The 18,211-nt window shown below is 45.2% G+C and overlaps 1 pseudogene across 1 annotated transcript, besides 3 other annotated features; it reads right to left on the bottom strand.

Moving 5' to 3' along the window:
* Positions 1-12,875: 12,875 nt before the first annotated feature.
* Positions 12,876-13,916, bottom strand: RPS2P32 (ribosomal protein S2 pseudogene 32; annotated as a pseudogene). Its single transcript, NR_026676.1, has one exon. The product of NR_026676.1 is annotated as a ribosomal protein S2 pseudogene 32 (transcript).
* Positions 13,022-13,071: an enhancer, noted in NCBI's record as "active region_25731". NCBI's record gives its function as "activates an Ori minimal core promoter by ATAC-STARR-seq in GM12878 lymphoblastoid cells {active_cell/tissue: GM12878}" and the evidence as "EXISTENCE:reporter gene assay evidence [ECO:0000049][PMID:35858748]".
* Positions 13,082-13,151: an enhancer, noted in NCBI's record as "active region_25730". NCBI's record gives its function as "activates an Ori minimal core promoter by ATAC-STARR-seq in GM12878 lymphoblastoid cells {active_cell/tissue: GM12878}" and the evidence as "EXISTENCE:reporter gene assay evidence [ECO:0000049][PMID:35858748]".
* Positions 13,652-13,911: a silencer, noted in NCBI's record as "silent region_18013". NCBI's record gives its function as "represses an Ori minimal core promoter by ATAC-STARR-seq in GM12878 lymphoblastoid cells {active_cell/tissue: GM12878}" and the evidence as "EXISTENCE:reporter gene assay evidence [ECO:0000049][PMID:35858748]".

Raw genomic sequence — 18,211 nt, 5'->3', positions numbered from 1 at the left:
GAGACGGGGTTTCACGGTGTTAGCCAGGATGGTCTCGATCTCCTGACCTTGTGATCCACATGCCTTGGCCTCCCAGAGTGCTGGGATTACAGACGTGAGCCACTGCACCCGGCCTACTTTTTTTTTTTTTTTTTTTTTTTGGAGACAGAGTCTCGCTCTGTTGCCCAGGCTGGAGTGCAGTGGCGTGATCTCAGTTCACTGCAAGCTCCACCTCTCTGGTTGACGCCATTCTCCTGCCTCAGCCTCCCAAGTAGCTGGGACTACAGGCACCCACCACCACGCCCGGGTAATTTTTTGTATTTTTAGTAGAGGGTTTTCACCATGTTAGCCAGGATGGTCTCGATCTCCTGACCTCGTGATATGCCCGCCTCAGCCTCCCAAATTGCTGGGATTACAGGCGTGAGCCACTGCGACCGGCCTATAGGTAGATAATATCTTAAGAAGTCTAAATATATTCCAGTAGGAAACACACTTAAATAACTGTAATGTAAAAGAAGAAGAGGGTGTTTCAAGTGACCTTTAAAAAAAGGTGTTGGGCAGCTGGGCGTAGTGGCTCTCACACCTGTAATCCCAGCACTTTGGGAGGCTGAGGCGGGCGGATCACGAGGTCAGGAGATTGAGACCATCCTGGCTAACACGGTGAAACCCCGTCTCTACTAAAAATACAAAATAATTAGCCAGGCATGGTGGTGGGTTCCAGTAGTCCCACCTACTCAGGAGGCTGAGGCAGGAGAATCACTTGAACCTGGGAGGCAGAGGTTGCAGAGAGCACCACTGTACTCCAGCCTGGGCAACAAAGCAAGACTCCATCTCAAAAAAAAAAAAAAAATTTACTGTTTGAAAGTCCTGTCCTTTTTAAGTATATTTTGTGACTAGGGAGCTGAGCTCAGTAGTGTGCACCTGTAGTCACAACTAGGGATGCTGAGACAGAAAGTTATTTTGAGCATAACTACTCAAAATAGAAATAAAAGCTTAGATATTTCTGGACCTCCACTTTTTCTGTTTACTATTAAGATCTAAATGTGGCCGGGCACTGTGGCTCACACCTGTAATCCCAGCACTCTGGGAGGCTGAGGTGAGTGGATCACCTGAGGTCAGGAGTTCAAGACCAGCCTTGCCAACATGGTGAAACCCCATCTCTAATAAAAATACAAAAAAAATTAGCTGGGCATGGTGGTGGACACCTTTAATTCCAGCTACTTGGGAGGCTGAGGCAGGAGAATCTCTTAAGCCTGGGAAGCATAGGTTGCAATGAGCTGAGATGATGCCATTGCACTCCAGCCTGGGCAACAAGAGCAAAACTCCATCTCAAAGATATAAGTGTTTTCAACTGGCGGGTAAGAAAAACTGCTGCTGTTGGTTCTCTAACTTCTTACAACGGTGGTTCCCACTTAATCTTATTTAGGTCCTGGAGCCCTAAAAAAAAAATCTGAAAAACCTGCAGTCTGTCTTCCCAGAAACACTTGTGTGAAACGTTCTGGTGTTTTTGTGTTGAGACAGGGTCTCACTCTGTCACCCAGGCTGGAGTGCAGTGGTGGGATCACAGCTCACTGCAGCCTCGACTGCCAGACTCAAGCAATTCTCCCACTTCAGCCTCTCAAGTAGCTGGGACTACAGGCGCACGCCTTCATGCCTGGCTAATTTTTGTACTTTTTTGTAGAGAAGAGGCTTTGCCATGTTGCCCTGGCTGGTCTCAAACTCCTGGGCTCAAACAAATTGACCTCCCTCAGCCTCGAAAAGTGTTGGGATTACAGGTGTGAGCCACCACGTCCAGCAGAGTATTTGGCTTTTAAATTATAATCTTGTGCATAGAATAAGATCTATAAGAATATACACCAGGGGCCGGGCTCACGCCTATAATCCCAGCACTTTGGGAGGCTGAGGCAGGTGGATCACGAGGTCAGAAGATCGAGACCATCCTGGCTAACATGGTGAAACCCCGTCTCTACTAAAAAATACAAAAAATTAGCTGGGCGTGGTGGCGGGTGCCTGTAGTCCCAGCTACTCGGGAGGCTGAGGCAGGAGAATGGCATGAACCCGGGAGGCGGAGCTTGCAGTGAGCCGAGATCACGCCACTGCACTCCAGCCTGGGTGACAGAGCAAGACTCAGTCTCAAGAAAAAAAAAAAAAAGAATATACACCAGCCTGGGCGTGGTGGCTCACGCCTGTAATCTCAGCACTTTTGGGAGGCCGAAGGCAGGTGGATCCACCTGAGGTCAGGATTTTGAGACCAGCCTGACCAACATGGTGAAACCCCATCCCTACTAAAAAAAAAAAAAAAAAAAAAAAAATTAGGCATGGTGGTGGGCACCTGTAATCCCAGCTACTCAGAAGGGTGAGGCAGGAGAATCACTTGAACCCAGGAGGCGGAGGTTGCGGTGAGCCAAGATGGCACCACTGCACTTCAGCCTGCACAACAGACGGGGACTCCGTCTCAAAAAAAAAAAGAATATACACCAATCTCCTCATAGTAGTTACCCTGTGGAGTGGTAATCTGTGGAGAGAGGAGGTAAGATGAACATTCATAAAACCAATAAAACAGTTTTATGCTGGGCACTATGTTGCCTATGCTGGAGTTCAGTGTCTACTCACATGATCATAGGACTCCTGCACTCAAGCAACCCTATTGCTTTGCCCTCAAGAGTAGATCTGTGTGCCACCAAGCCTGGCCCTTGCTTGTTTAGGCTGTCATTGCTTATCAATGTTAGAACTTTTTTTTTCTTTTTTGAGACGGAGTCTTGCGCTATGGGTTGCCCAGGCTGGAGTGCAGTGGCACGATCTTGGCTCACTGCGACTTTCATCTCCCGGGTTCAAGTGATTCTCCTGCCTCAGCCTCCCGTAGCTGGAATCACAGGCATGTGCCACCACACCCAGCTAATTTTTGTGTTTTTAGTAGAGATGGGGTTTCACCATGTTGGCCAGACTGGTCTCGAACTTCTGACCTCAGGTGATCCACCCACCTTGGCCCCCCAAAGTGCTGGGATTACAGGCATGAGCCACCGAGAACAGTTTGAATTGCACAGCAACTTGAACTATTACACACAAATACATATTGCTTTGCTGTGGCAATTAAAAGCCCAGCATTTTAATGTATTCCTATCCCTGATGTCACACTTAATGCTTTGGGTTTTTAGTATGAATTTTCTTTTTCCCTCCCAATTAAGTTAAAATTAAATGAATCAAATGGTCAAAACTAGTGCATATTTTTATTCTATGAAACAATTCAGATACTTATTGACATTAAAAGATCAGGGGAGGAGTCTTTGAGCATACTCTGGCTAGGGAAGCTGCTCAATAATTGGAAAAAAAAAAAAAGAAGTGTAACATCCATAGGAGTAATGAATATAGAAAACAAGGCTGGGCACAGTGGCTCATGCCTGTAATCCCAGCGCTTTGGGATGTCAAGGTTGGCAGATCACCTGAGGTCAGGAGTTCAAGACCAGCCTGGCCAACATGGCGAGACCCCGTCTCTACTAAAAATACAAAAATTAGCTGGTCATGGTTGGGGATGCCTGTGATCCCAACTACTCAGGAGGCTGAGGCAGGAGAATCACCTGAACTCAGGAGGCAGAGGTTGCAGTGAGCTGAGATCATGCCACTGCATTCTAGCCTGGGCAATAGAGCAAGACTCTATCTGAAATAAATAAATAAATGTGGGGGAGGCCTTTTTTTATTTTTTAAAAAAAGATGGGAGTTACCAGGCGCAGTGGCTCATGTCTGTAATCCCAGCACTTTGGGAGGCCGAGGCTGGTGGACCTGGGGTCAGGAGTTCGAGACCAACCTGACCAACAAGGTGAAATCCCGTCTCTACTAAAAATACAAAAATTAGCCAGGCATGGTGGCAGGCGCCTGTAGTCCCAGCTACTTGGGAGGCTGAGACAGGAGAATTGCTTGAACCCAGGAGGTGGAGGTTGCAGTGAGCCAAGATGGTGCCACTACACTCCAGCCTGGGTGATGGAGCCAGGCTCTGTCTCAAAAAAAAAAAAAAAGATGGAGTTATACAAAGGAAAATAAGCTTATATACTCAATTATTTACAACACAAAATTATTTTAAAATGACTATCCTATTCACCCGTCAGAGGTGAGAGAATGGATACATGGGTAATTGAGGTACTAGTTTTAGACTGTTACGGAGTATGGCTGCAATCATTAGGAAAAATTCAAAGTATATACAGAGAGAGGAAATGGGGAGTTAGTGTTTAATGGGTATAGTTTCAAGTATGTATATCAAAAAAAAAAATCCACATATATGTAGTTTGTTGCTACATAACTGTTCCTGGTGTACTCTGCAATTTGAAAGTTGTAAAATGATTAAGTAACCAATGAGGTAACTTCCTTGCTTTGTGACTGCTGCACAGAATGGTGCCTGGCATGGAGTAGATGTCCAGTAAATATTTGCATAGATGAATGAGGATAGAGGAGTAATTTAAAGAGCTAAAGTGTAAGGGCAGTGTGACAGAAGGGATCTAGGCTGAAAATAATCGTGACAACCCTAACAAAGGTTAAAAATCACTTTTAGTAATCTGTGTAATGAGGGAAGAAAAATGGCAGTTTAATTATCATTAAAGTGTTGGTGCTTAAGTTGCCTTAAAAATTCATTTATGGTGGGGTGCGGTGGCTCACGCCTGTAATCCCAACTCTTTGAGAGGCCAAGGCAGGCGGATCACGAGGTCAGGAAATCGAGACCATTCTGGCTAACACGATGAAACCCCGTCTCTACTAAAAATACAAAAAATTAGCCGGGTGTGGTAGCATGCGCCTGTGGTCCCAACTACTTGGGAGGCTGAGGCAGGAGAATGGCTTGAACCTGGGAGGCGGAAGTTGCAGTAAGCCGAGATCATGCCACTGCACTCCAGCCTAGGCAACACAGCAAGACTCTGTCTCCAAATAAAAAAAGAAAATTCATTGATATGGAACACTGGGATCCCTGATAATGTCAGATAAGTTAACCATTCTATTTGACATTCACAAGAATATCAAGTGCAAACATGTCACAATAGGCTGGGCGTGGTGGCTCACGCCTGTAATCCCAGCACTTTGGGAGGCCGAGGCAGGCAGATCGCCCGGGCTCTGGAGTTCAAGACCAGCCTGACCAACATGGAGAAACCCCGTCTCTACTAAAAATACAGAATTAGCTGGGCATGGTGGCTGATGCCTGTAATCCCAGCTACTCGGGAGGCTGAGGCAGGAGAATTGCTTGAACCCGGGAGGTGGAGGTTGCAGTGAGCTGAGATCACGCCATTGCACTCCAGCCTGGGTAACAAGAGTGAAACTCTGTCCCAAAAAAAAAAAAAAAAGAAAAAGAAAAAAAAAGTCACAATGGAAAATGTTCTTTTTTAAAAACTTAAAAGGGATATGGATTTATATTCTTTTTTTGAGATGGAGTCTCACTCTGTCGCCAGGCCCAGGCTGGAGTGCAGTGGCGCAATCTCAGCTCATTGCAACCTCTGCCTTCCGGGTTCAAGCGATTCTCCTGCCTCAGCCTTCCGAGTAGCTCGGGACTACAGGCGCGCGCTACCACTCCCAGCTACTTTTTTCGTATTTTTAGTAGAGATGGGGTTTCACCAATTGGCCAGGATGGTCTCGATCTCTTGACCTCGTGATCCACCCACCTCAGCTTCCCAAATTGCTGGGATTACAGATGTGAGCCACCATGCCCAGCTGGATTTATTTTCAAATACTAACAAAGCTATTGATACATTATTTTCACAAACTTCCAGCTGAAATGTAGCATTTCCTTCAACAATGAATGTAGGCAAAGTTTCAAACCTTTGTAAAGGCATACACATATATTTGTAATCAAACTTTTAATAAAACTTTTTTTGTTTTTGTTTTTTGTGTTTGTTTTTGTTTTTGGAGACGGAGTCTCACTCAGTCGCCCCGGCTGGAGTGCAGTGGCGTGATCTTGGCTCACTGCAAGCTCTGCCTTCCAGGTTCATGCCATTCTTCTGCCTCAGCCTCCCAAGTAGCTGGGACTACAGGCACCCGCCACCAAGCCCAGCTAATTTTTTTGTATTTTTAGTAGAGACGAGGTTTCACCGTGTTAGCCAGGGTGGTCTCGATCTCCTGACCTCGTGATCTGCCCGCCTCGGCCTCCCAAAGTGCTGGGATTACAGGCATGAGCCACCGTGCCTGGCCAAAATTTAACATTTTAAAGTACGATTTGTATGCTTTGGTTGTTCTTAAGGTAATTTAGAGTTTATACTATTTTTTAATAACAAATTACTAAATTTGTTATTAAAGTGCAAAGCTCAAATGAAGAAAATGAAAAACATTTGTTGTCTTTTATGTATGTATCCTGAATTCATATTACTGTATGGGAAAACCTAGTACTATAAATATTTCAATCCTTACCTTCAAATGTATATTATTGTGCACTTCACGGAGTTAGAGTGAGAATGCTATGTTCAGCAGGGTGTCTTAAGTTAAACATTCAGACTTAGAAAACCGTTAGTCCACATTTGGCATATTCACTTAGAAAAATACAGGATAGGATGCAGCAAGTAGGGCAGTGCCAGGCATTCCACAGGGATCCTTGTAGCAGTTCACGCAGCAATACAACTTAGGTCTGAGATGTGAGATCCACATCACGCAAGTGCACAAGACACCTGGTTTTAAAAGTTTTATGACCTGTTACCCACAGGCATAGCTTCTAAGCTTCCTGAGACATATGCCTCTTATGTCATTGCACTTAAGATGTAGGGTCTCCATTGGATACTTTAGTTTCTCCCAGTGAAGACGCAATTTACCAGTCAAATCATTTTTACCACAAGCAATGTTGTAACACAGTTGACATACTAGCCTTATCAGGGTGCCAGAGAAACAACTAGAAATTTAATGAAAGGCCAAATTCCCACACAGAAGGGGAAAGTTCTTATTAAACAGTTTATAGTAGTCCCTACAAGATTTGGGGCTGGGGGCGGGGAGTTCAATGAAATAGTACCAAAGGTCACATGGAAGAATGTACTTAGAAATGAATAAACAATCAGGAATAGAGTCCAGACTAGATCCAAGTACCTATGAAAACTTACATGGGCTGGGCGTGGTGGCTCATGCCTGTAATCCCAGCACTTTGGGAGGCTAACGCAAGAGGATCACGTGAGCCCAGGAGTTCAAGACTAGCCTGGACAACATACTGAGATCCCCATCTCTACAAAAAATAAAAAATTACCTGGGTTTGGTGGTGCATACCTGTAGTCTTAGCTACTTAGGAGGATGAGGTGTAAGTTGAGCCTGGGAGATCCAGGCTGCAGTGAGCCATGGTTGTGCCACTGTACTCCAGCCTAGCTGACAGAATGAGACCTTGTCTCAAAAAAGGAAAGAAAACATACATACTTAAATGATAAAGGTAGCATTTTATTTTTATGGGAAAATGACAGATCAGTAAAGAATGGTATATGGCTATTTGGAAGAAAATAGATTTAGACTCTTGCTTCATACAATATTACAACAATACAAATTATAGGTGGGTTAATATATAAATGTAAAAAAACTATATGTTATTTGGCAACCATGATAATAATAGTTGATAAGGCAAGACTCTGATTGGTACTAAAACTAGTACATAAAAATTTCAGGAATAGGCCAGGCGTGGTGGCTCACACCTGTAATCCCAGCACTTTGGGAGGCCAAGGCCAGTGGATCACCTGAGGTGAGGAGTTCAAGACCAGCCTAGCCAACATGGTGAAACCCCGTCTCTACTAAAAATAAAAAATTAGCCGGGTGTGGTGGCACACACCTATAGTCCCAGCTACTTGGGAGGCTGAGGCAGGAGAATCGCTTGAACCTGGGAGGCGGAGGTTGCAGTGAGCCAAGATCGTGCCACTGCACTACAACCTGGGCAAGAGTGAGACTCCGTCTCAAAAAAAAAAAAAAAAAAAAAAAAAGGAATAACAAGGAATTTATATAATCTGAAAATATATCTTCACAAGCTATTACAAATAAGAAAAAACTTTGGGCCAGGCGTGGTGGCTTACGCCTGTAATCCTAGCACTTTGGGAGGCTGAGGCAGGCAGATTGCCTGAGTTCAGGAGTTCGAAACCAGCCTGGGCAACACAATGAAACCCTGCCTCTACTAAAAATATTTTTAAAAATTAGCCAGGCATGGCAGCATGCCCCTGTAGTCCCAGCTACTCGGGAGGCTGAGGCAGGAGAATTGTTTGAACCTGGGAGATGGGTTGCAGTAAGCCAAGATCACGCCACTGCACTCCAGCCTGGGTGACAGAGCCAGACTCCATCTCCAAAACAAAAACAAAAACAAAAACCAAACAAAAAAACTTTGTAATTTTACACTGGAGAAACCTGGCATATCAAACCATGTGATTAAAGTTAATATCATCAGTAATGGGAATAATGGATATCATGTGCTTCCTGATGCACTAAAGACATTGGTGATATTTCACAAAAAATAAGTATAATCACTGCTATAATCAGAAAAAATCAGATACCCCCCAAAAGAGAAGCAGTCTAAAATAACTGACTTGGGAGCTTAAAAAATTTCAATATTATAAAAGTTAAAGACAGGAATATTGCAGATTAAAGGAGACTGAAAAGACATGATAACTAAATACAAGCCATGATCTGGGGTTTTTCTTTTTAAATTCTTTTTTTGAGACAGAGTCTCGCTCTGTTGCCCAGGCTGGAGTACAGTGGTGTAATCTCGGCTCACTGCAACGTCTGCCTTCCAGGTTCAAGTGATTCTCCCACCTCAGCCTCCTGAGTAGCTGGAATTACAGGCACATGCCACCACGTCCGGCTAATTTTTGTATTTTTAGTAGAGATGGGGTTTCACCATGTTGGCCAGGCTGGTCTCGAACTCCTGAACTTAGGTGATCCTTCAGCCTCAGCCTCCCAAAGTGCTGGGATTATAGGCGTGAGCCACCACACCCAGCCATTTTTAAAACTCTTTTTAAAACATGATTTGAAAGATAATTTCATTTTCAATCGTAGGGAATTATACAATCATTTGTTAGCCATTCTTCTATCCCCCTCCCATTTTTTTTTTGAGAAGAGTCTTGCTCTGTTGCCCAGGCTGGAGTGCAGTGGTGCAATCTTGGTTCACCGCAACCTCCGCCTCTTGGGTTCAAGCAATTCTCCTGCCTCAGCCTCCCGAGTAGCTGGGATTATAGGCACGCACCACCACGCCCAGCTAATTTTTGTATTTTTGTAGAGACAGGGTTTCATCATGTTGGCCAGGCTTGTCTTGAACTCCTGACCTCAGGTGATCCACCGGCCTCGGCCTCCCAAAATCCTGGGATTACAGGCGTGAGCCACTGTGCCTGGCTATCCCCCTCCCTTTTTTCTTTTTTTGAGACTGTGTCTTTCTCTGCCCAGGCTGGAGTACAGTGGTGGGATCTCTGCTCACTGCAGCCTCCACCTCTCAGGCTTAATTGATCCTCCTGCCTCAGTCTCCCAAGTAGCTGGGACTATAGACGTGTGCCACCATGCCCAGCTCATTTTCGTATATTTTTTGTAGAGTCAGGGTTTCGCCATGTTGCCCAGGCTGGTTTCAAACTCCTGGACTCAAGTGATGCATCTGCCTCGGCCTTCCAAAGTGCTGAGATCACAGGCATGAGCCCCCGGACCCAGCTATGCGTCTCTTTAAAATCAGATTTATTGAGGTTTAGTTAATACACATAAAATTGACTTTTTTTAAACAAAATCTTCCTTTGAACACAAAAAATCCACCACTTTGAGAGTAATATTGTAATGTTTTGATTAAATGTACACAGGGTTTACATCATTTTTTTCTGTAGCACAAGTCCAATAAAGGATACATTAATTTGTAATCTACTTTGACAGCTACAAAGCAGAAATCTTTCCATATAAGTTATTCTTAGAACTTCTTTAGTACCGAGTATATTTAAGTCAATTGTATGAATTGACTTTCAAGACAGACTGAATTGGTGTAAAAAAAAGAATGTTAAATTCTATTTTAAGTAAAAGTTAACTAAATTAAGCCCTCCGTAAACTAAGGCTTACTCTACTTTTATTTATTTACTGGGAGACAAGGTCTCGCGCTGTTGCCCAGGCTGGAATGCAGTGGTGTGATCATAACACTGCAGCCTCGGCCGAGCATGGTGGCTCACACCTGTAATGCAAACACTCTGGGAGGCCGAGGTGGGTGGATCACCTGAGGTCACGAGTTTGAGACCAGCCTGGCCAACATGGTGAAACCCTGTTTCTACTAAAAATAACAAAAGTTAGCCGGGCATGGTGGTGCACCTCTGTAATTCCAGCTACTCGGGAGGCTGAGGTGGGAGAATTGCTTGAACCCAGGAGTTGGATGCTGCAGTGAGCCGAGATGGTGCCATTGCACTCCAGCCTGGGTGACAGAGCAAGATCCTGTCTCAAAACAAAAACAAAACAAAACACTGCAGCCTCTAATTCCTGGGCTCAATCCATCCCCCTTCTTCAGCCTTCGGAGTTGCTGGGACTACAGGTGCTGCCACCACTCTCAGCTAATTGTTCAATTTTTTGTAGTGACAGGGTCTTTCTATGTCGCCCAGACTGGTCCTGGTTTCAAGCCATCCTCCCGTTTTGGCCTCCCAAAGTGTTAGGATTATAGGTGTGAGCCACTGCACCCAGCCTACTGTACTTTTAGATGACAGATGTGTGTCATGAGAAAACAAAGTGCTAACCAAATTTTTATTTTTATTTATTTATTATTTTTTGAGATGGAGTCTTGCTCTGTCACCCAGGCTGGAGTGTAGTGGCATGATCTCAGCTCACTGCAATCTCTGCCTCCCAGGTTCAAGTGATTCTCCTGCCTCAGCCTCCCCAGTAGCTGGGACTACAGGCGCCCACCACTACGCCCGGCTAACTGTTGTATTTTTAGTACAGACAGGGTTTCACCATATTGGCCAGGCTGGTCTTGAACTCCTAACCTTGTGATCCGTCCACCTCGGACTCCCAAAGTGCTGGGATTACAGGAGTGAGCCACCGCACCTGGCCGTAACCAAAATTTTATTTAGTGAAACAATTTTCATTCTACGGCCTTTAGTGAAACAATTTTCGTTCTATGGCCTTTAGTCTATAGAGAGATTTAGAAAATGCTCTACAATTTCCACAGTAAAATGCAATTAGAGTTAATTTTAAGGTGTGGGAAGATTGCTAAAAGTTATTTATTGGGTTGGGTGAGGTGGTTTATGCCTGAAATCCCAGCACTCTGGGAGGCCGAGGCAGGTGAAACACCTGAGGTCAGGAGTTTGAGACCAGCCTAGCCAACATGGTGAAACCCATCTCTACAACAAACAAATTAGCCAGGCGTGGTGGTATGCCCCTGTAATCCCAGCTACTCAAGGTGGCTGAGGCAGAAGAACTGCTTGAACCCAGGAGGCAGAGGTTGAGGTGAGCTGAGATCACATCACTGCACTCCAGGATGGGCAACAGAGCAAGACTGTCTCAAAAACAAACAAAACAAAATTAAAAAGACGTAGTCAATCTTTCTGCTTTTTTTTTCTTTTTAGTAATGTAGCTATCTCTAGGTTGAGTAATGTCTTAAAATTGTCTAATCCAACTTTCTAATGATTGTATCCCCTCTAAAATAAGATATTCTTTAGAGTACCTAGTTTAAGGAAATGGGTTTTAACCTAGGGTCCATGGCTAGGAGGTAATGGATAAACTTTAAGAGATCATTACCCTTTGAACATATATTCAGAACTTGATGTGCTTGCATTTGTGATTTTGTTTTTTTTTTCCCTCTCTTTTCTTTTTTGAGACAGGGTCTCGCTCTGTCGTCTAGGCTGGAGTGCAGTGGCGCGATCTCGGCTCACTGCAACCTCTGCCTCCCGGGTTCAAGCGATTCTCCTGCCTCAGCCTCCAGAGTACCTGGGATTGTAGGCGCCCGCCACCACACCTGGCTAATTTTTGTATTTTCGGTACAGATGGAGTTTCTCCATGTTGGCCAGGCTGGTCTCAAGCTCCTGACCTCAAGTGATCCACCCGCCTCAGCCTCCCAAAGTGCTGGGATTACAGGTGTGAACCACCGCCCCCGGCCTTGTGTGTATTTTTTCTAAGGAAAGTTAAGTGGTTCCATCAGATTCTAAAAGGTGTTCCTGGCTGGGCATGGTGGCTGATGCCTGTAATCTCAACATTTTGGGAGGCCGAAGTGGGCGGATCACCTGAGGTCAGGAGTTCAAGACCAGCCTGGCCAACATGGAGAAACCCCATCTCTACTAAAGATACAAAAATTAGCCAAGTTTGGTGGTGGGCGCCTACAATCCCAAGTACTCTGGAGGCTGAGGCAGGAGAATCGCTTGAACCCGGGAGGCAGAGGCAGCAGTGAGCTGAGAGCGTGCCACTGCACTCCAGCCTGGGCGACAAGAGCAAGACTCTGTCTCAAAAAGGAAAAAAAAAAAAGATACATTCCTAAACAAAAGCTTTAAAATGAGACATTAAAGAAAACTAAGGGCCGGTCTGAGTGCAGTGGTGTTTACAACTAATTGATCACAACCAGTTATAGATTTCTTCGTTCCTTCTCCACTCCCACTGCTTCACTTGATTAGCCAGGAAGGAAGGAAGGCAGGGAGAGAAGGAGGGAGGGAGGGAGCCGGGGAGGGAGGGAAGTAGGGGAAGGAGGAGGAGGAGGAGGAGGAGGAGGAAGAAGAAAGCTAAGAGCAGCTTGGGTACTTTTCCACACTTTTAAGAATAACATGAATGGCATTTATAGGCTGCCTCTCAAGGGGCAGGCAAGGACCCACAGTATACATCCATCTCTATCCTCCACAAGACTCCCTTTGGGGTATAAATATGTGTTGAATAAATAAGTAAGTAAACATTATTTCACCCAGTGTTTTTTGATGACACTTATCAGAGAGAGAGACTTGTAGGCTTGAAACAAATCCAGTTCGAATCATACCCAGTACATTCATGTCTTTTTTTTTTTTTTTTTTGACAGTAATAGGCTTTAATTCACTTTATTTTTCTTGCATAAAAACCCTATGTTGTAGTCACAGCTGGAGCCTGGGTCCTCTGCACGGAGACTCTGGTGTGGGTCTTGGCGAGGTGGTCAGTGAATTCCTGATAGGGAGACTTGGTGAATACAGTCTCCTTCCAGAAGTCCTTCAGGGGATCAGGTAGCTGTAGATGTTAGAGACAGCATCCAAGGTGGCGTTGGCGAAGTTGCCCAGGGTGGCAGTGCAGCCCCTGGCTGAGGTGTAGCAGTCGTAGATACCAGCTATCATGAGCAGCTTCTTGGGCACAGGAGCTGAGACGATGCCAGTGCCCCTGGGCGCGGGGATGAAGGGCACCAGCACAGAGCCGCAGCGGCCTGTCACCTTGCAAGGGACGGTGTGGAGCTTGCCGATCTTGTTCCCCCAGTAGCCTCTGCGCACGGTGACAATGGAGAGCTTGGTCAGGATGATGGCCCCGCGGATGGCGGCGGCCACCTCCTTGGAGCACTTCAACCCGACCAGCGTAGCCATTGTAGTCCCTGATGGCAACAAACGCCTTGAACCTGGTGCGCTGGCCGGCGCGGGTCTCCTTCCGCACAGGCATAATCTTCAAAACCTCGTCCTTGAGAGAGGCCCCCAGGAAAAAGTCAATGATCTCAGATTCCTTGATGGGCAGCGAGAAGAGATAAATCTCCTCTAGGGACTTGATCTTCATGTCCTTGGCCAGGCCGTCCAGCTTGGTGACGGGCATCCGCTCCTTATCCTGGGCCTTGCCTCCGCGAACTCCGCGGTCTTGGCCCCGGCCCCATCCACGGCCGCGACCCCGGCCCCGGCCCCATCCACGGCCGTGACCCCGGACCCGGATGCCACTGCTGAAACCCTCAGCGGAAGTCACATCAGTTCCCCTTCCCAGGGCCCCCGGGGCCTCCGGCGCCCACACCACCCGCCCGCCCGCCCGCGCCCGCCCGCCCCCGCCCTCTGCACTGGCGTCATCCGCCATTTGGTGTTTTCTCGGAGAAGCAGCACATTCGTGTCTTTACAGAAAAATATATCTGCTATAGTCACAACTTTTACAATCTAGGGATTATATAAATCTTTTGTTGTTGTTGTTAGCTAATTAGCTAACAACACAATGAAACCTTATGACATTCACTACATTTTGAATAGTGTTAACTATTTCATGTAACCCATCATGAAATAAATGTAAGAATGAAAGATCCCAGCCTGATGTGGTGTTGTGTCTCTGTAATCCCAGCTACACAGGAGGCTGAAGTGGAAGGATTGCTTGAGCCCAGGAGTTTGAGGCCAGCCTGGGCAACACAGCCAGCCCCCATATAAAAACAAACAAACAAACAAAAGTATCCCATAATAACCAAAACATATATTTTTATAGCTCTTTTAAAATAGAAGGTGAAATAAGTTTACCGTAACTTCCTAGAATTTCATTTAATAATTAAATGAGATCACGCCTGTAATCCCGGCACTTTGGGAGGCCAAGGCGGGCGGATCATGAGGTCGGGAGATTGAGACCAACCTGGCTAACGCAGTGAAACCCCATCTGTACTAAAAATACAAAAAAATTAGCAGAGCGTAGTAGCGGGCGCCTGTAGTCCCAGCTACTGGGCAGGCTGAGGCAGGAGAATGGCCTGAACCCAGGAGGCAGAGCTTGCAGTGAGCTGAGATCGCGCCACTGCACTCCAGCCTGGGCAACACAGTGAGACTCCGTCTCCAAAAAAAAAAAAAAAAAAAAAAAAAAAAAAAGGGAGTTTCGTTCTTGTTGCCCGGCCTGGAGTGCAATGGCGTGATCTCAGCTCACTGCAACCTCCGCCTCCTGGGTTCAAGTGATTCTCCTGCCTCAGCCTCCCGAGTAGCTGGGATTACAGGAACACACCACCATGCCCAGCTAATTTTGTATTTTTAGTAGAGAGGGGGTTTCTGCAATGTTGGTCAGACTGGCCTCGAACTCCTGACCTCAGGTGATCCACTCGCCTCGGCCTCCCAAAGTGCTGGGATTACAGGAGCCACGGCACCCAGCCGAACTCTACTTTTCAACCCGAGAATTACTGTTCAATCAGTTTAGATTACAGATTGTTCTTTTGCAGACCAATTTTGCCATTTCTTCTCTTCAAATAGGACATCGTAAAAACCTCATGTTAATAATATGTATATGTATAATAATATGCATAATGATATGCATATACGTATATTACATATAATACACATACATGCATATACGTATATTACATATAATACACATACATGCATATACATATATTACATATAATACACATACATGCATATACGTATATTACATATAATACACATACATGCATATACGTATATTACATATAATACACATACATGCATATACGTATATTACATATAATACACATACATGCATATACGTATATTACATATAATACACATACATGCATATACGTATATACCTATAATACGTATATACGTATACGTATATACGTATTATAGGTATATACGTATATACGTATTATAGGTATATAAGTGTGTATATATATATATTTTTGAGACGGAGTCTCACTCTGTCACCCAGGCTACAGTGCAATAGCATGATCTCAGCTCAATTTCCGCCTCCTGGGTTGAAGGGATTCTCTTGTCTCAGCCTCCCAAGTAGCTGGGATTGCAGGTTTGTGCCACCACACCCAGCTAATTTTTGTATTTTTAGTAGAGACAGAGTTTCACCGTGTTGGCCAGGCTGGTCTCGAACTACTGACCTCAGGTGATTTGCCTGCCTTAGTCTCTCACAGTGCTGGGATTATAGGCGTGAGGCACGGCGCCCAGCCTTAACTCAGTATATGTTGCCAAAAGTGAAAATAATCATCCATAGTAAGCCTCAAAATCTCCTTTAAATAAAGTTCTGCTATTATTATTATTATTATTTTTTTTTTTTTTTTTGAGACAGAGCTTCCATCTGTCACCCAGACCAGAGTGCAGTGGCACAATCTTGGCTCACTGCAACCTGCGACTCCTGAGTTCAAGGAATTCTCCCTGCCTCTGCCTCCCAAGTAGCTGAGATTACAGGCACCCACCACCACACCTGGCTAAGTTTTGTATTTTTAGTACAGACAGGGTTTTGCCATGTTGGCCAGGCTGGTCTCGAACTCCTGACCTCAGGTGTTCCACCCGCCTCGGCCTCCCAAAGTGCTGGGATTACAGGCGTGAGCCACTGTGCCAGGCCTCTATTATTTCTTAAAGGGTAGTCCATATATGAAGTAATAAAAGTTCATGATGCTGTTTCTGACATGGATGTACTGATACTGAATTATGACCAAGCTTTTCATCACTCTTAGATAACTGAAACCATAAAGCTTGAAGATATTTTAGTTCTGAAAAATTGGTCTATATTCTCAATCCCAAAGTAACTGGGTTTTTGTTGTTGCTGCTGTTGTTTCAAACGAGGTCACCACATGCCTTTTAAGGGGTGGGGTGGAGAATGTATTTGCACAAAAAAACTCCAACATTTGTATGCTCAACGATGTGTACTGACGACTTGCAGCATGGAAGGCTGAATGTTAGACAGTATCATACATTCATTCGACAAATATTTACTGAGTATTTACTATGGGCCAAGCACAATTTAAGGTATTGGGAAAGTGGCAGTGAACAACATAAACCAAAAAAACTCTGCCTTCATGTAGTTTACTTATATACAAAGATAAATTAGACCTTGCTAATCAGTTTAGACTCCAATGGAAGAGACAAGTGTGAAAATCTTTTTAAATGATAAATATTTTGCAATAAACAAAGTGCTATATCAAATTCACACTTAAAAATTCTGAAATCTAGGTCGGGTGCAGTGGCTTGTGCCTGTAATCCCAGCACTTTGGGAGGCCGAGGCGGGAAGATCATGAGGTCAGGAGATCGAGACCAGCCTGGCCAACATAGTGAAACCCCGTCTCTACTAAAAACACAAAAATAAGCCAGGCGTGGTGGCATGCGCCTGTAGTCCCAGCTACTTGGGACGCAGAGGCAGGAGAATCCCTTGAACCCAGGAGACGGAGGTTGCAGTGAGCCAAGATTGCTCCACTGCACTCCAGCCTGGGCAACAGAGCAAGACTCCATCTCAAAAAAAAAAAAAAAAAATTGAAATCAGAGGAGGAAATGATTTTTTCTTTTTCTTTTTTTTTTTTTTTGAGAGAGTCTCACTCTGTCGCCCAGGCTGGAGTGCAGTGGCACCGTGTCGGTTCATTGCAACCTCTGCGTTGCCAGGCTGGAGTACAGTGGCACAATCTCAGCTCACTGCAACCTCTGTCTCCTGGGTTCAAGCGATTCTCCTGCCTCATCCTCCCGATTAGCTGGGATTACAGGCGCCCACTACCATGTCGGGCTAATTTATTTATTTATTTATTCTTTGAGATGGAGTCTCGCTCTGTCGCCCAGGCTGGAGTGCAGTGGCGTGATCTTGGCTCACTGCCAGCTCCGCCTCCCGGGTTCACGCCATTCTCCTGCCTCAGCCTCCTGAGTAACTGGGACTACAGGCGCCCACCACCACGCCCGGCTAATTTTTTGTATTTTTAGTAGAGATGGGGTTTCACCGTGTTAGCCAGGCTTGCCTCGATCTCCTGACCTCGTGATCCGCCCTCCTCGGCCTCCCGAAGTGCTGAGATTATAGGCGTGAGCCACTGCGCCCGGCCACTCCTGGCTAATTTTTGTATTTTTTTTTCTTTTTTTCTTTTTTTTTTTTTTCAGTAGAGACAAAGTTTCACCACGTTGGCCAAGCTGGTCTCAAACTCCTCACCTCAAATGATCCACCCACCTTGGCCTCCCAAAGTGCTGAGATTAGAGGCGTGAGCCACTGCGCCCGGCCAGTAAGGGATTCCTTTACAGGGGATAGATACTTTGTTTTTTTTCTGCTTTCCCCACAAACTGTTACCTAGCTGTGTTATTTGAATAAATTTTTCTTTCCTTCTCTCTGTCTCTGATCCTGGTTATATGGACACAAAATATCCCTCCCTGCATTATTTTCCAGTGTCAAGCAATTATCCCTTTCTCTCTCGCATTTTATAGAACTTTCTAAACTGGTCCAATCATTTTATCGATATTCCCAGTCTTAGTCCTTTTTCTGAAAACTAAATTCCACAAATACCTGTTGAAAACTACATTCCACAAATACCTGTTGAAAACTACTCAGTGCTCTCCTGGGATGAAAAAGATAAAGGGTGGTAGAAGTAGTTTTAACTCTTTTTACAGCTGTGGAAACAAAGGCCCGGGAGGTGAAGAAAACTGACCCGGGGCCACAGCAACATCAGCTACGCACACACAAAACAGGCACCAGGGCAGCA

This window comes from Homo sapiens, chromosome 7, assembly GCF_000001405.40.
Source record: "Homo sapiens chromosome 7, GRCh38.p14 Primary Assembly".
NCBI lineage: Eukaryota > Metazoa > Chordata > Mammalia > Primates > Hominidae > Homo > Homo sapiens.
The sequence above is the reverse complement of the archived record's forward strand: the minus strand, read 5'-3'. Positions and strand labels throughout refer to the sequence as shown.